Source organism: Homo sapiens, chromosome 8 (assembly GCF_000001405.40).
Source record: "Homo sapiens chromosome 8, GRCh38.p14 Primary Assembly".
NCBI classification, from domain to species: domain Eukaryota; kingdom Metazoa; phylum Chordata; class Mammalia; order Primates; family Hominidae; genus Homo; species Homo sapiens.
The window spans coordinates 105,343,847-105,359,393 of NC_000008.11; the positions used below are offsets into that span (position 1 = coordinate 105,343,847).

General features: G+C 35.9%; 1 protein-coding gene across 5 annotated transcripts in view; it reads left to right on the forward strand.

Annotated features, from left to right (window-relative positions):
- ZFPM2 (zinc finger protein, FOG family member 2) overlaps window positions 1-15,547 on the forward strand; it is a 486,102-nt gene that overhangs the window by 25,409 nt on the left and 445,146 nt on the right. The window contains exon 1 of one of the 5 annotated variants that reach the window (XM_047421629.1): window positions 7,412-14,791. The exons of the other annotated variants lie outside the window; for them this stretch is intronic. The gene's annotated coding sequence lies outside the window, so the exon portion shown is untranslated. Of the gene's footprint in view, window positions 1-7,411; window positions 14,792-15,547 lie in introns of those variants that run through there. 5 annotated transcript variants of the gene reach the window in all.

Consider the following 15,547-nt stretch of genomic DNA (forward strand, 5'->3'; position numbering starts at 1 on the left):
TTCAATTTTAGAAGGATTTAGTTGGTACCTATTGTATTAGTCCATTTTCACATTGACATACCTGAGACTGGGTAATTTATAAAGAAAAGGAGGTTTAATGGACTCACAGTTCCACATGGCTGGAGAGGCCTCACAATCATGGCAGAAGATGAAGGAAGAGTAAAGGGATTTCTTACATGCAGTGGGCAAGAAGAGGACTTGTGCAAGGGAACTCCTCTTTATACATCTATCAGATCTCATGAGACGTATTCACTATCACGAGAACAGTACAGGAAAGACCCGCCCCCATGATCCAATTACCTCTCACTGTGTCTGGCCCACAACTCATGGGAATTGTCAGAGCTACAGTTCAAAATGAGATTTGGGTGGGGACACAGCCAAACCATATCACCTATCAAATCCTTATTATCATTATTGTATAAGCAACAACCAAATCTTCTGGAAGCTAAACAAGCTGTCAGAACTCTCAAAGCCTTGGGAGGGGCTCAAGCAGTACGTTCAGCTGGTCTTATATTTTTACAAAATATGCAAAATTAAAATATTTTAGCTGCAATTTTTTAGGACTGCTAATTCTTCCCACTTTGACATTCCTTCTGCCACAATTCAGAATGACCACAGGCATTATTAGGTTCTTGGGAATATAATAGTCTGATTTTTAACATTTGTAATTTACTGAGATTTCTCTACATCGATATTTATTTTTATACACAGTATGTGTTTGTAATTTTGTATTCTCCTGTTATAGAGGGTCCCTAGTTGTATAAGCTTCAGATCCCACAATACCTGGGTCTATTTCTGTGTGCCCCCTTCATTTATATCTATATATACACATATATATGTGTGTGTGTATACATATATGTATATATAACATTTATATATATGCTATGATTCTAAATACCTCAAAGAGAAAGATGAATAAGCCATTGTCCTTTATATCAAGTTATGGACAATGTAATGGAGGAAGCTGAGGAGTTTTATTATGAATTCAATGATTTAGTTGAAGAAATCATTAAAACTAATATACAATACAATATTTTTACAACTTTATATGCGTGGACATTTTTAATGTTGAATAAGAAATAATTAAACAACAATAAGAAAGTTAAGACCAACAGTGACACTGAGCACTCAAATCCAAGAAGATCATATTCTTGAATTATAATCTAATAAATGTGTATATTATTCCTATGGCAAAGGTAAAAAGGCTGTGTAATTGTGTACATCTTATTGATTAGACAAGTAATGTATATATGAGGATGTCAATACACTTTTATATTTTAGTGATAAAACTGCCTTGACATCATAAGTAAGCTCATTTTGGTATCAAATCCGGTGAAGCCAGCTGACAAATTTTGAGGATCTTAACAGAAGAATTTTTCCCCTATCATAAATCAGTAATAATAGGTTACCGAATACTATACTTTCAGACAATCTGGAGCTTTTTCAGCATCTTTGACAAACTTCTTAGTCTTGTGCATCTTTTTGCCAAAGTTCAATTTTGTTCTTGTTTCCATCTTTTGGAAGGCAGAGATGTGGAGCATGATTCTGCGCTGACATATCTAGCTTATTCGTGATGTTCTTTTTTTTTTTTTTTTTTTTTTTTAAGTCCTGTGTTTCTAAGCTAACACAATCAAGAGGTGTGCCATGATTGTGATTTCCCTTGCACAGCAGCATCATTTCTACCATCAAGGGAAGTTCATGCTTCCTTAAACGTATGGAAGCTCTTTCAGGTACTTGGCTAGCTAGCAGGTGATCTTTTCATAAATGTTATGGAAAAGACTAGTTGAAGAGGAAGACATACTGTTCAGCTTGTTCAGACACAGCTGTTCAGATCAAATCTAGTTCTCTTTATGTGTCTCTATTGTTAAGATTGATGTAGTAGAGAAATTGGGAATACAAATGTTCTGTAATAAGATTGTTATAATCCCAGAATGAATTGTATATTTAAGCACATAGACCTGTTTCTAACTCTCAAATAGGATTTTGTGATTCCATTTTTTTCCTAGAATGTACCATTATATTTTCCCACTTATATTTAAAAATCAATTTCATTATTATACTTACATACAATGTTTCTAAATATTATTTTCCTCTGATTTGAATGTTTTTTTCAATAAATGTTTGCCATGCAAATACAATGTATCTGAAATTGACAAGTATTTGAATGATTTTTCTTGAACTTAAAAATAAGGAAAGAAAAACATACAGGTGTTATGGCATAGACATTGAAGTAGATAAATGGATAGATTTAGTTCTTGGGCCGGCACAGTTGCTCACACCTGTAATTCCAGCACTTTGGGAGGCTGTGGCAGGTGGATCAGCTGAGTTCAGGAGTTCGAGAGCAGCCTAACCAACATGGAGAAACCTCTTCCTACTAAAAATACAAAATTAGCCGGGCGTGGTGGTGCATGACTGTAATCCCAGCTACTGAGGAGGCTGAGGCAGGAGAATCGCTTGAACCCGGGAGGCGGAGGTTGCAGTGAGCCGAGATCACGCCATTGCACTCCAGCCTGGGCAATAAGAGCGAAACTCCATCTCAAAAAAAAAAAAAAATAAATAAATAATAAAATAAGAGATTTAGTTTTGGCATACTTGTTTTAAGCATTACATATGTAATTAAACTTAATAGGAGGAGAATAAACATTTATTTCCTTCATTCAGAAGATTTCCTGGGAAACAGTGAGATGCAGTTATGACAGATATATGTGTGCAATACATATTACTTCTGGAAAAGGAAGGAAAACTTTCATTGAGAGCCTTCCTATGTGCTAAGGACTCTGTTAGGCACTTTATAAGCATTTAACTTAATTTTCTTACATTATTTACCTGCATTATCCTTTTATGTAGGACAGGGATAATTAGTTCCATTTTGGAGACATTGTTTTGGGCCACACTGCAATTGACAGCCAATATTTGGAATGGGTTAAGGGGTTTTTTTTCATAGCTCCATTTTGTCAGTGAAAGGGCTTCTGCTGCAAAATGACAGGATCCAACGATGAATAAGATGAGATCACGTAGGTGGAGATGGCTACAAATAGCTCTGGCACATTAGCACTCAGTAAATGCTAGTCAGTTTTGAATCATGGGTCCAATTCTCACATGGCTGTCTTACAGTCTAAGGAAACCAGATGTAGCCATAGGTACAATGCAGAATGAAGTGTCAGGAGAACAGCACAGATAGATTTAAAGAAGGATCCATGCAGATTAAAGTTTGGCCTTTAGTTCTCTTATTTGAGAAAGTATATTATTGGAACTTTAAACAATTTTGAATGATGTAACACCCCCCACCCCGCCCCCCAAAACCCTTAGGTGTCAGATAGAAAAACGTATTGAAGGCACTTTTTATATACTTTTCAGAAAGTATTCAATCTAAGCGTGATTATTCTTTTAACATTAAAAATTCAATTTACTGATTGCAAATTAAAAGCCTATATGAAACATAAAACTTCCAGTCATTGATGTCAATAAAAACCTTATTTTTTTCATAGCTTGTGAGATTTAGCTTAGGGTTGGTATAGTCTTACAAAGTTGCTTTACTTTTACTCTATGGAGTTAATAAGATATATCCATAAACCTTAATGTGAAAAATAAATGCATATTCAGTATGAAATGTGTGAAAACTCAGACAAAGCCCCAGTTCAGTGTACTCTGTTCCTCCTGACACCAAGAGGTTATGTTTCAAATAGGACTACTAAAGGTTTTAACATCTAGTAGTATGAAGCAGGTACAGAAAAGAGTGAATGACATGCCAAGCCAGCAGTGACACACACAACCCCAAGGTGGCATGTGACATACCTTTACTTCATTTACAGACATGGCATATGTCAGAGTGCTTGGCCCTACCGCACAGTTGGTTTGAGCAATTTCCATTCCATTATGTTTTCTTACAGCTTCTGTTTTATGCCCCCTCCAGCTTATTCAAGTGTTTAAATTTCAAATTAGTTGCTTGTCTTTATCATTCATTTTTGGATTAGAGAAACATATTATAGCCGTTGGACATGTTTACCATATTAAAAATAATAACAAAGAAAACAAAAATGATAACCACCGCTCCCCACCCCCGACATACTCAAGGCTTTAAAGGTTGTGTTGAAATCACAGGCTATTCCAAGAAATCACCTTAATCCAGTGTGATTGACCAACTTTTCCTATCCAGCTTGAGGACATTGAGAATACATTTGTGTGTGTGTGAGTGTAATGTTTTAAATGTTGGGACAAAATCGACTGATAGAAGCAAGTTCTAACAGTTATTTCTTTGCTTGACCATTTTGTTGGTTCTTTGAGCCTCTCACAGGTTGCATCATAGTCTATGTGGATAGATGAAGAATCATGTAGTAAGGACCAAGGAAATGGTGACAAATAACAGAAAGTAGTGTTGGTTATATTTATGTAATGCTGACTATTCCATGCTTTGCATTTGCAGGTATGATTTTCTTTAAAGTCATTTGTATAAGAAGCAGAGACTTACAATCTACCATTCTAAAATTTGAATTGCTTTTCTAGAAATTAAGTAGAGGGGCTCTGTGTTATCTCTGTAGTGTCTCATCATGTGACACACATCAGGTTTTCGTAATGGCTAGCTGGGATCCAAATGCCAATGTGTTTGTTTCTCTATGGGTTTTGCTGTAAAATCAAAGTGAAAGCCTATTGATTATATTGCTGTTTTCCCAATAGTTTATTGTCTTACTTATAAGAAATGTGTCTCACTTATAAGAAATGTAAAGAAGAAAAGTATATTAATAGCTAAAGTGTGCTGTGACTACAGGAAACTCAGGAATTCGAATTTACCATTGATGTTTTTGCATTTTACCTCCTGTCCACTTCTTTCAAGGGAGGGACAGGGGGCAGGTATAGCAGTAAACCAATAAAAGTCTTATTAGATGATTGACATATTAGATAATTCATTTAAAAATAGAAAGTCAACATTCCCTTTTGTAATTAGAGAAAAAGACAACTAGGATTGAAATTTCATTTATGAGTTTGAAATCTGGAATTGTTTGATTTTATTTGCAAATGATTATGAGGTTGAACAGCACACACCGTACTCGACTCTCTGTTGTGAATTCCCATATGATCAGCATAGATAATGGAATATTTCATTTTCTACTTAAAAATCATTTCCAAAATGTTTGTAAATATTTGTTTCTCAGGGATCCATTTATCTTCTTCAGTTCCAAAGAACTGTTGTGGGGTTACAGAAAAAGATGATAAATGAGCCCAAGGAGCCTGGGTTTAAATTGTCCCGCTACAGGTTTTACTATTATTTGGTAGACATGCAAAATCTGTGAATGCATTAATATTAACTGATTAGGTTCTGGATTTTTTTAAGGCCAGAATTCTGAAATGAGAATAAATCAGTCATGAAGCTATTCGGGCTTGTATTTATCCACAGTTAGATCCATATGAAAATTCAATATAACAAGAAAGAAAAATGGCTGGAAGACATTCCTTCTCAAAGGAATGGCCTGGACTTCAGCCGCCTAATTCCCATTCAGTTCTGAGGGCCCGAGTAATGTGGTCTGTAATTGTATACAAACCTTATAACAAAGAAAGTGACAACAAAACCCATCTGCTCTTAGGTATCCTTGTACACAATACAAGGTATAACCTGGAATGAGCCATAGGGTATTTTGATTAATTGAGCTTAACTGATGGGTATCCAGTAACTCTGTTTTACTAAAACCTTTGTTGAAATTCTCAGTGAAGGGTTTACATTCACTTTTAGGTCAACGTAATGAAACTTAAGATGATTTAAGACCTTCTAGAAACTCTGCATCATGATTCTAAATCATAAAGTTCATTGCATACGTTGTGTAGCTCCAGAGATGAAGATATGGGAGATGTAGATGTATTTGATGTGTACTGACCCCAATTTCTTACAAAAGCAATATAAACAAAAAATACATCTAACTACCATGATATATCACTTGTTTTTCTATATTTTTATGTAATATACATGTAATCATAGTATAGATATAATTTCATTGTGATTATAACTGGAAATATTTTTCATCTTTCTACATGGCCTTCTTGACTTTCATTTTGTATTCCTGCTCTGTAGTCTCTCAGTTGATTTGTTATAATTTATTTAAACATTATACTATAAGGCACTTGAATAGCTTCCAATTTTTGTAACTAACACTGAAATGACTCAATTAGTGCAATAGTTTTTTTACGTTTTTAAGGTTTTCTTGAAGGGTAAATTTCAAACAGTAAGATTAGTGGATTAAATGATATATACTTTTTAAGGGGTGATGGTGCAGGAGGAAAGGATAAAGAAAAATATTTTAAATTTGGCATTAGACTTCTAGAGTTCCTACCTCATTAGAAATTCTAGAATATCAAGGTACATTTTGAGCAGGAAGTGATATCATGAAACAATAATTTGCCCAGAGGCTAAAGGCAGCCACCTTCGGAGAGTCTGTTAAAGTGATTCAGGTGTGCAGAAATGATTTCCTTGGCCGTAGGTGGGTTTTGAAAAGGAAAGGAACATGGCAATCTACTCCACATTGAGCACCTGTCCTGGGTGCTCTAAGGTTAAATAAGAGACAGAAAATTCTACTCTAAAGGTTATGAAATACTTGATTAGTGAAAATATTCATAGAATAAATAATCAGATAAATAAAAAGAGAGTAGTGTAGATTGAATCAGATAGGAAGACTGCATAGACTGAATCTTAGGCTGAAAGATGAAGAAAATGAGAGGTTATTGGTAGGAAGAATGCAAAGATGTCTTTCTTAGGATAGGGAGAGAGCAAAGCAGAAAACTTGGTAGGCAATTGTAATTTTGGTGGGGGACACTGAGGAAATGAATAAGGTGTCATCTTAATGGATATTTTAGCATATTAGTATACTCTTTACTTATTCATTGGTTCTTCTATTTATTGGTGACTTTTGGAGGACACAAAAGTGTCATACCTTCCCTGATGTAAAGATTGTCATATTCCATCTTATTTCACAGTTGAACTATATAGTCCTCCTTCAGTATCTGTGGAGAATTGGTTTCAGAACCCCTAGCAGATACTAGATTCCAGATAGAAAATGACATAGTAATGGGCTGGGCGTGGTGGCTCACGCCTGTAATCCTAGCAACTTGGGAGGCTGAGGTGGGTGGATCACTTGAGATCAGGAGTTCGAGACCAGCCTGGCCAACATGGTGAAACCCCATCTCTACTAAAAATACGAAAATTAGTCAGGTGTGGTGGCACATGCTTGTAATCCCAGCTACTGGGGGGGCTGAGGCAGGAGAATCGCTTGAACCTGGGAGACAGAGGTTGCAGTGAGCCGAGATCACACGATTGCACTCCACAGAGTGAGACTCTGTCTCAAAAAAAAAAAAAAGAAAAAAAAGAAAATGACATAGTATTTGCATATAATTTATGCAATCCTCCTGTATACTTTAAATCATTTCTGTATTACTTATGGTACCTAATACAATGTAAATACTATGTAAATAGTTGCTATACTATATTTTAAAATTAGTGTTCTCTTTTATAGTTGCATTATTTCGTGTGTGTGTGTGTGTGTGTGTGTGTGTTTGTGTGTGTGTGTGTATGTAAATATTTCCAATCCATGATTGATTGAATTCTGGGATGTGGAAACCTCAGATAAGGAGGGCTGACTGTACATCAAATTTAACTAGAATTTTTAGGTGCAAATTCAACTTTGTACTTACGTAAAAGATCCTGACTCAGAATCCTTTCATTGGAATCAGAATTGCCATGAGATACATTAACTGGTTCTCCTGATTTGCTTGAGCAGATGAGAATAAGACTCAGAATTTTGCTTTCTGGTTATCCTCCTTTTAATGACTAAATTTGGTTTACAGATAATATTGCTGATTAAAAGTGTAAATGATGAAATCTGGGCTATTCATAGGGAAGAAATAATTCTTTATTCTCTGAACCAAATATATGTTGTTTTTTTTTTAATATTCAAATTCATTGCTGTGAAAAAGATGGGAGGTCATTTTTCCCTTTGGAAAAAAGGCTCTATTTTATATTAAAAGCAAAACTTTCGATATTTAATCAATGGAGAAATTATTTAACTAAAAAGATGGGCATTTTTCTAGGGTCTGGCAGTAGCATCAGCATCCCCTCAGAGCTCGTTAGAAATGCACATTACTGAAGTACATTCCAGACTTGGAGCCAGAATCTTGAGAGGGGCACCCAGGATTCAGGGTTTTAAGATGCCCTGCAAATGGTTGCATGCCGAAATGAGAAAGCCACTAATTTAGAATGAGTTTTTTAAGCTGAGCTTAATTATGGCCAATGGATGCATCACTTCCTAAACTTCATGCATCTTACGTTTGGAACTAAGCCTTGGTTACAAAATATATAGTGTTGTGTTGATTTTGCACATTGTTGGATGGTTTAAATGTTTCTTTATGAAAATGACATTTTAACTTTGAAACCATAGTAGAAACTTATTTTGACAAGTTTTAAATACCGAATTAAAATATCCCTGTTCTTTCATTATATGCTCTAAACTGCTTATTTAATACACAATAACAATATCAATTATAATTTATATGATTACTAGGACATAGTTTTTCTTAACATTCTTCAGTGAATTTTGTTAAAAGTAATAGCATTTATATTAACCCATTAGCCCACATTAATTCAGTATTAATGAAGAACATGATTTTAATTGGAAAAGAGTCCAGAACATCCTCCTTTTTTACATTGTTTTTTCAGTTCTTTTGGCACGACTAAAAGACATCCAGAAGTTCCCATTTTACCGTTTTTTTTTTTTTACCTGTCTTTGACCCTTTTATTATCTGGATCTGCTGATTTGCTCGAGCAGATGAAAATAAGACTCAGAAGTTTGCTTTCTGGTTATCCTTTCTCAGATGTCTCCATAAATATTGCCATGAGAAGCAGAGCCCAAATTGTGGTTCAGATTTTTGTCCTGCATTGTTGTAAGGTGGCTTTTTGCTTACTGAAAAATGTTAACATTTAACATTTAAACCTTATCTGTATGCCTGCCTGCCTGCCTGCCTACCTGCCTGCTTGATTACCAGCTAACCTACCTACCTACCTATTCGTCTATACCAGTCAGTTACAGTGAGAGCAACTCATACAGATTGTTTCACTGTGGAGCACAACATTAGCACATCAATATGTAAAAATAAGATAAATGTGTTGTATAGGCTTTGAGCTAAGTACACAGCTTGAAAACATACTACCTAGAGAATTAAAGTGTTATTAGTTGGGTTTGTGGTTTGAGTCATCCTACTGTCTAAGCAAAAACATAAACCTTCCAACATTATGATGAATAATCTTTTACCTTCCTAACTTTCACCTTTTTCACACTACTTTCTTGGGTATCAGAGGTCTCCTTCCTAGAGACTTCCCTAATGCTTCTGAAGGGATCCCCCCACCCCATACTCTCATACTGCACTGTGCTTGGGTCTCCCTGGCACTCAATTCACTCTGTGTTCTGTTCAGATGTCCCCCTAGTAGAGAGTCCTTTCCTGGTCACCCCATATACGATAGTGCCTCCTTTTGTGTGACTGGTTATCACCATATTCTGATATTTTTTTCAAAGCACTTACCATCAACTGAAATAAGAACACTACACAGGCAAGGATTTTTGTTGTTGTTGTTGTTAGATGTTTTAAACAACCTATGCCCAGGAATCCAGGTAGTCCCTGACACCAAAAAACTATGTAGGTTTAATTTTCTTTTCTCCTTTTCTGGAATGTAAATTCCATTAGAACTGTGACTCTTTTATTTTTTGGCTACATCTCCAGAACTGAATACAGTGCTAGGCAATAGTAGCTAATTAGCAATAGTTAGTGGATAGTTAAATATATAACTGGATAGAAGCAGAAATATATTTTAGTGGGTTAATGCATTTATACTCCTTATTTGCTTCTTATCCATCTTCATATTAACGTTTATCATTAGAACTCCTATGTTAGCAGTCTTCACATTGCCCTTTAGTGTTTGCTTAAAATTTTTTAAAAGGACCGGAGTTTTATTCTAAGTGCTAAATTATGAAAAGTTGTTTGTTTTTAGTTTCTAGTAAGAATTTCACTTGAACTTGTAGTATGTTTTAAAACATCAATAAACTGTGGCTTAATTATACAGGTATCATAAAGAGTTGGATTGTGGCTGTATTCTAAGGAGTATGACCACCCACTTCCTGGATCATCGTTGTCCAGATGTGGTACTCTAAGCAAGCAAATAAAAAAAAGTAAACCTCAGTGGAGAGCACTCATGATAGCTTACTTAAGGAGGCTGCAAACCACTTAAGGATGCTAACTTTTTTACACGAAGAAATGTGATTAAGATATGTTAAACGGAAATCTATACAAACCAGTGAAATTGTTAAAATATTCAAATATGCCGTATTGTAACAAGAAAACACTGCAATGCACTGAAATCAGCAGTAGAACAGCTGTGTTTTAAAGGACAGTACTTTGAATGTCACTTGACAATTTGCTTTCAATTAGAAGTAATTTACAGGAAGATGCCCACAAGCTAATCTTTACAGGATAATTAAGTTCCATTTTCTTTACTTTTAATTAAAAAGCAGAAAAGATTTAGCTGATCCATAAAAAATGTTCTGTTTAAACATTCATCAGACTTCACACTCTTTTTTTGTTATTTGTTGTAGCAGATGTTATCAAAAGTGCAGTCTGCTCTGTTTTAAACCCTGAGTATTTGGAAAGTGAAACATGAGTGGCAGTAGGCATGTATTGGTGAGGTATGATCATTGAACATCTGTATGTTCAAAGAGGATAAAACAGATAACTACTCTTCCATTCCTTAATTGTGTTCTGTCTGATGCATTTAATTTTAGTACAAAACCACACACAGTAAAATGAGAAGCAACGCAATTTTGAGTTTTGAACATTGTATGTAGTAGGATGATATTTTATCATGAGGTCAGGAGATCGAGACCATCTTGGCTAACATGGTGAAACCCTGTCTCTACTAAAAATACAAAAAATTAGCTGGGCATGGTGGCACGCACCTGTGGTCCCACCTACTCGGGAGGCTGAGGCAGGAGAATGGCATGAACCCGGGTGGCGGAGCTTGAAGTGAGCCGAGATGGCGCCACTGCACTCCAGCCTGGGCGACAGAGCAAGACTCTGTCTCAAAAGAAAAAAAAGAAAAACACAAAAAACAGCGGCAACAAAAAATCAAATGTTCTAAAGTTTCTATATTTTCAGATGTAACATGCTATTTTATTGCAATTTTCATAATATAAAAATTGACACTGTTTTTTAACATGAGAATTTATTCACGGAAAATATGAACAATTCAGTGTTGTTGTAAAATCATTTAAAAATTCTTTCTCTGTATTAACAGTTTGTTGCATTCCTACTATGCTTTTATTTGGCAAAATAAAATATATCGCTAAGGATGTTTGAAGTTTTAGTTTTAGAAGTCACTATTGACAAGCTATTTTTATTCTAACTGGTAAGAACTGTCATTTTTCATTCTTATTCTCCTGTCATACTATGCTAAGGAGTTTTGCACTGAAAATTCTTCAGACACAAATTCTTTAATCCTTTCTTATGGTATCTTTTTTTGCTGGCTAATTAATGTGTTCATGTTGGGTAATAGTTTTGTTCTTTTAAATTCTAGAAAATTTCCTACTTGAAAACTTGAAGGAAGTTGGGCCATTATAGAGCTGTGTACCTTAACATTTTACAGTAATAATTCCATTTACTGTGCCTTTTAACAAACAAGCATGCTTTTTAATTTTATGATCGGAGAGTACTTAAAATTTTAAGATGCTGTTAATATTATCTATTTTTACTTGCTTTTGTTTTCTTATTTAATTTCCCTCTGTTGGATGGAAAAGAGGAAATGACAAGAGATTGCTCACAAGCCCATTCATGTATTGCCATTTATATTTGTATATGTAGGGAATATGTCCAAAGGCATTTTGACCAACATAGTTTAGGTGATTCCTAAATAAAAAAAACTACAGTGTGTGTTGCAGCATATTTTATAAATTTCAGGTACGAACTTAATTATAATAATCACAATGCATTCATTTAAATGGAATATGTGTTTGAACATGTAGATGTCATCAGATTTTGTAATGAACTGGTGAAAATGTATGCTTCTTGTACTGAAAGTATAATACTGGGAAAAGATAAAGCACGCCCCATCTCTCTCCTTCCCTCTTTTCTCTCCTGTAATCAACACCTGGTTTGATTACTTCTTTTTGAACTATAAAAGCTATAGAATTATAACTCCTTACATGGAAGTTTTTGTGAAAGGGAATTGTAACAAACACAGTGGTTAAACTTTCCACTTTCAGAATTCCTCCTTTTCTTGTCATCCTGTAATTCAAACTTTCTTTAGTAAAGGATAAAGCAGTTTTGTTATTGTTCGAGAGAGTACAGTGATTTCCCTTTGGCACTTGGTTTTCAAGTTCATGACTGCTTTAGAAGGCCAAGACAGGTTTCTATGTATTTGTGGTGCTTGGGGAAGTTGTCAGCTGACCTCTTCTATGTTCCCATCATCCATGGCACCTAACACATTGGCTTGTACATAGTTGGTCCTAATTAAATATTAATAAATGGCTGACTGGCAATCAATAAAAGTTATACACAGCTCTATTTGATTCATTACACATAGTCAGTGGATTCTTTCCCATTTATTGCTTTTTATTTTGTAAGATCAAAAGGATCTGTAATCTGAGACACTGTAAGCAGTTGTGTTGCTTTTCATCTTCAGGCCTGCACTTCCTATAAAGCCAGATGCTGTGAATATTGACCCTTTTCACAGCTATGCTTAGAAACTGATATATATATACAGTTTGCATGTGCAGAAATAATGTTCTACTTCAAAAGACAGCAAAGAAGTGCCTTTCTGGTCCATATTTAGTTTGTTTTGTTTTCTCTGTAGTTGTTGAGGCTTACTCCTTCCCCCGACAGTTGATGACTATAATGTTTTTAGCATGTATTTCTTTACCCAATCCATTTCTATTTCTTGCCTGCCTTTTCGAGAAGTGGCACCACTCACTGATTTGCCTGTTTTCCTCCTCTTACTGCTTCATCCTGCTTGTAATTTTGCCTTCCTCAAGTCTACCAGGCTGATCTTCTAAAAACAATTAACAGCATGTCATTGCCATTGCTGAAAGTCTGCTATAGCTCTTTATTACCTACTTTATCAAGTCCAATTTGTCTACCCTGTTTTAGGACTTCCCATAATTTGCAATACTTTGCTTTTTGCAAACTATTTCTCCTACTGTCAAGCCCCTGGCTTCTGTTCCGGTGAAGTAGTACTGCTCCCTGGAGACCCCATCTCCCAGCACACACACGTGAGTCCCTGCCTCTTGCCTTTGTTCATATGATGCCCCTGTCTTTTCTCCATCATATAAATCTTTCTGATTGAAAAGGTCCAGTGGAAGTTCCACATCCTTCAAGAGGCTTTTCAGTATTCTCCTAATCCACAGCAATTTTTCCTTTTTATACTTGTTTCACTAATAGTGTCAGACAGTTTGACACATTTTCTGTATTTTTTCTACATATATATTAGCTTTTTCTCCCTATGAAGAATGTAAGCATTTTAAGGACACACATGTACACACAAAGAGTTCTTATGCCTTTTTGCTTTTATGTAAACCTTACATCTCATAGCAATGTGGTAAGCAGATGGTAAGCGTTTACTTCAGGTCTTGTTTGATTTATAAAATCAGACTACAAATTTAAAAACCATAACTAGCTACAGAGATGAATTGGGAGACATTATTGAATATTTTGTCATATATTTATAACAAACTTTTTTTTTCAAAGTCAGTTGGTTTATGTTTCTTCTAGAAAATTTTTTGCCACTTAGAAAAAAATGTATATTCCCTTAAAAAACAATTACCAGTAACCTAAAGATAAATAGAGATAAACCATCAGTTTTTAAGGGCTATCGTTTTCACTTTCAATAACTGACTTTGGAAGTGAACACGTTAGTAAAAGGAAGGACGTGTAAGTCATCCATCTCCTTAACCATAGAATGATGATGCCACCCCTGCCACTGCCTGTTACTGGGTTCATCAGAGCCTTTACATATTTATAATTACCCTTCCATAAATAGTTTGCAACTTGACCATAGCATTTTGCCACTCTATTAGAATGAGGCACAAGGTCCAAGTTAAAAGCAAAATCCTTAATGAATTTAACAAAATTAAGCAAAGAGCTTTAGGTTATAGGAGCAGAGTTAATGGATTCAGCTGTTCTTTACTTTCACTTCAACCAACAAATTCTGCATTCATTTTCCAGATGTGAACCTTGTTAAATTAAAATGGAGTAAAATTAATTTTGTGAAGCTGTTATATCACCCCTGGAGATAATTGGAGATAACCTAGTGTGTCGTAAAACTGGAGCTAGAAAATCAGCATTTATAGGGTTGGTTTCAGTAACTATGTTACAAAGGGATCCCAAGATTCATTTTTTTTTTTTTTCTGAGGTGGAGTCTTGCTCTGTCGCCCAGGCTGGAGTGCAGTGGCATGATCTCAGCTCACCATGCCTGGCCCCAAGGTTTATTTTTAATGCATATTTCTCAACTTTTGCTAGGATTCTTTCATGTGACTTAGTTGTCACTAGAGCTGAATTGTGATGCAGTCCTAGAATGCAGAGGTGGCCAATCCCAGAATCAGAGACAATGATGGCAGTGCTAATCAAAGTGTGGTCAGTGCACGGACCAAAGCTATCAACATGACTTCGAAGCTGGTTAGCAAAGCAGAATGGTGGGATTTGCCTCAGACCCACTGACACAGAATCTCTGTGTGTGGATCCTAGGATGCTGTGGAGTAAGTAACAGGTTCCCCAGGTGAGCCATATAGATGCTGAAGATTAAGAGCTACTTGTTGGCTGGGCGGTGGCTCACTCCTGTAATCCCAGCAGTTTGGGAGGCTGAGGTGGGTGGATCATGAGGTCAAGAGATCGAGACCATCCTGGCCAACATGGTGAAACCCCATCTCTACTAAAAATACAAAAATTAGCTGGGTGTGGTGGTGCGTGCCTGTAGTCCCAGCTACTTGGGAGGCTGAGGCAGGAGAATCACTTGAACCCGGGAGGCAGAGATTACAGTGAGCTGAAATCATGCCACTGCACTCTAGCCTGGTGAAAGAGTGAGACTCCATCTAAAAAGAAAAGAAAAAAGAGCTTGTCTGTGGAACCCCAGAGGTAATTATCAGACAAACTCACTGATATGGTTAGGCTTTGTGTCCCCACCCAAATCCCATTTTGAATTGTAATCCCCAAGTGTTGAGGGGAGAAACTTGGTGGGAGATCATTGGATCATGGGGGCAATTTTCCCCATGCTGTTCTTGTGACAGTGAGTGAACCTGATGGTTTGATAGATGGTAGTTTTCCCCATGCTCGACTTCTCTCTCTCTCTTGCCTGCCACCATGTAAGACATGCCTGCTTCCCCTTCTGCAATGATTGTAAGTTTCCTGAGGCCTTCCCAGCCATGCAGAACTGTGAGTCAATTAAACCTCCTTTCTTTGTAAATTACCCACTCTCGGGTATTTCTTTCTTTTCTTTTTCTTTTTCTTTCTTTTTTTTTTTTTTTGTTGTTGTTTT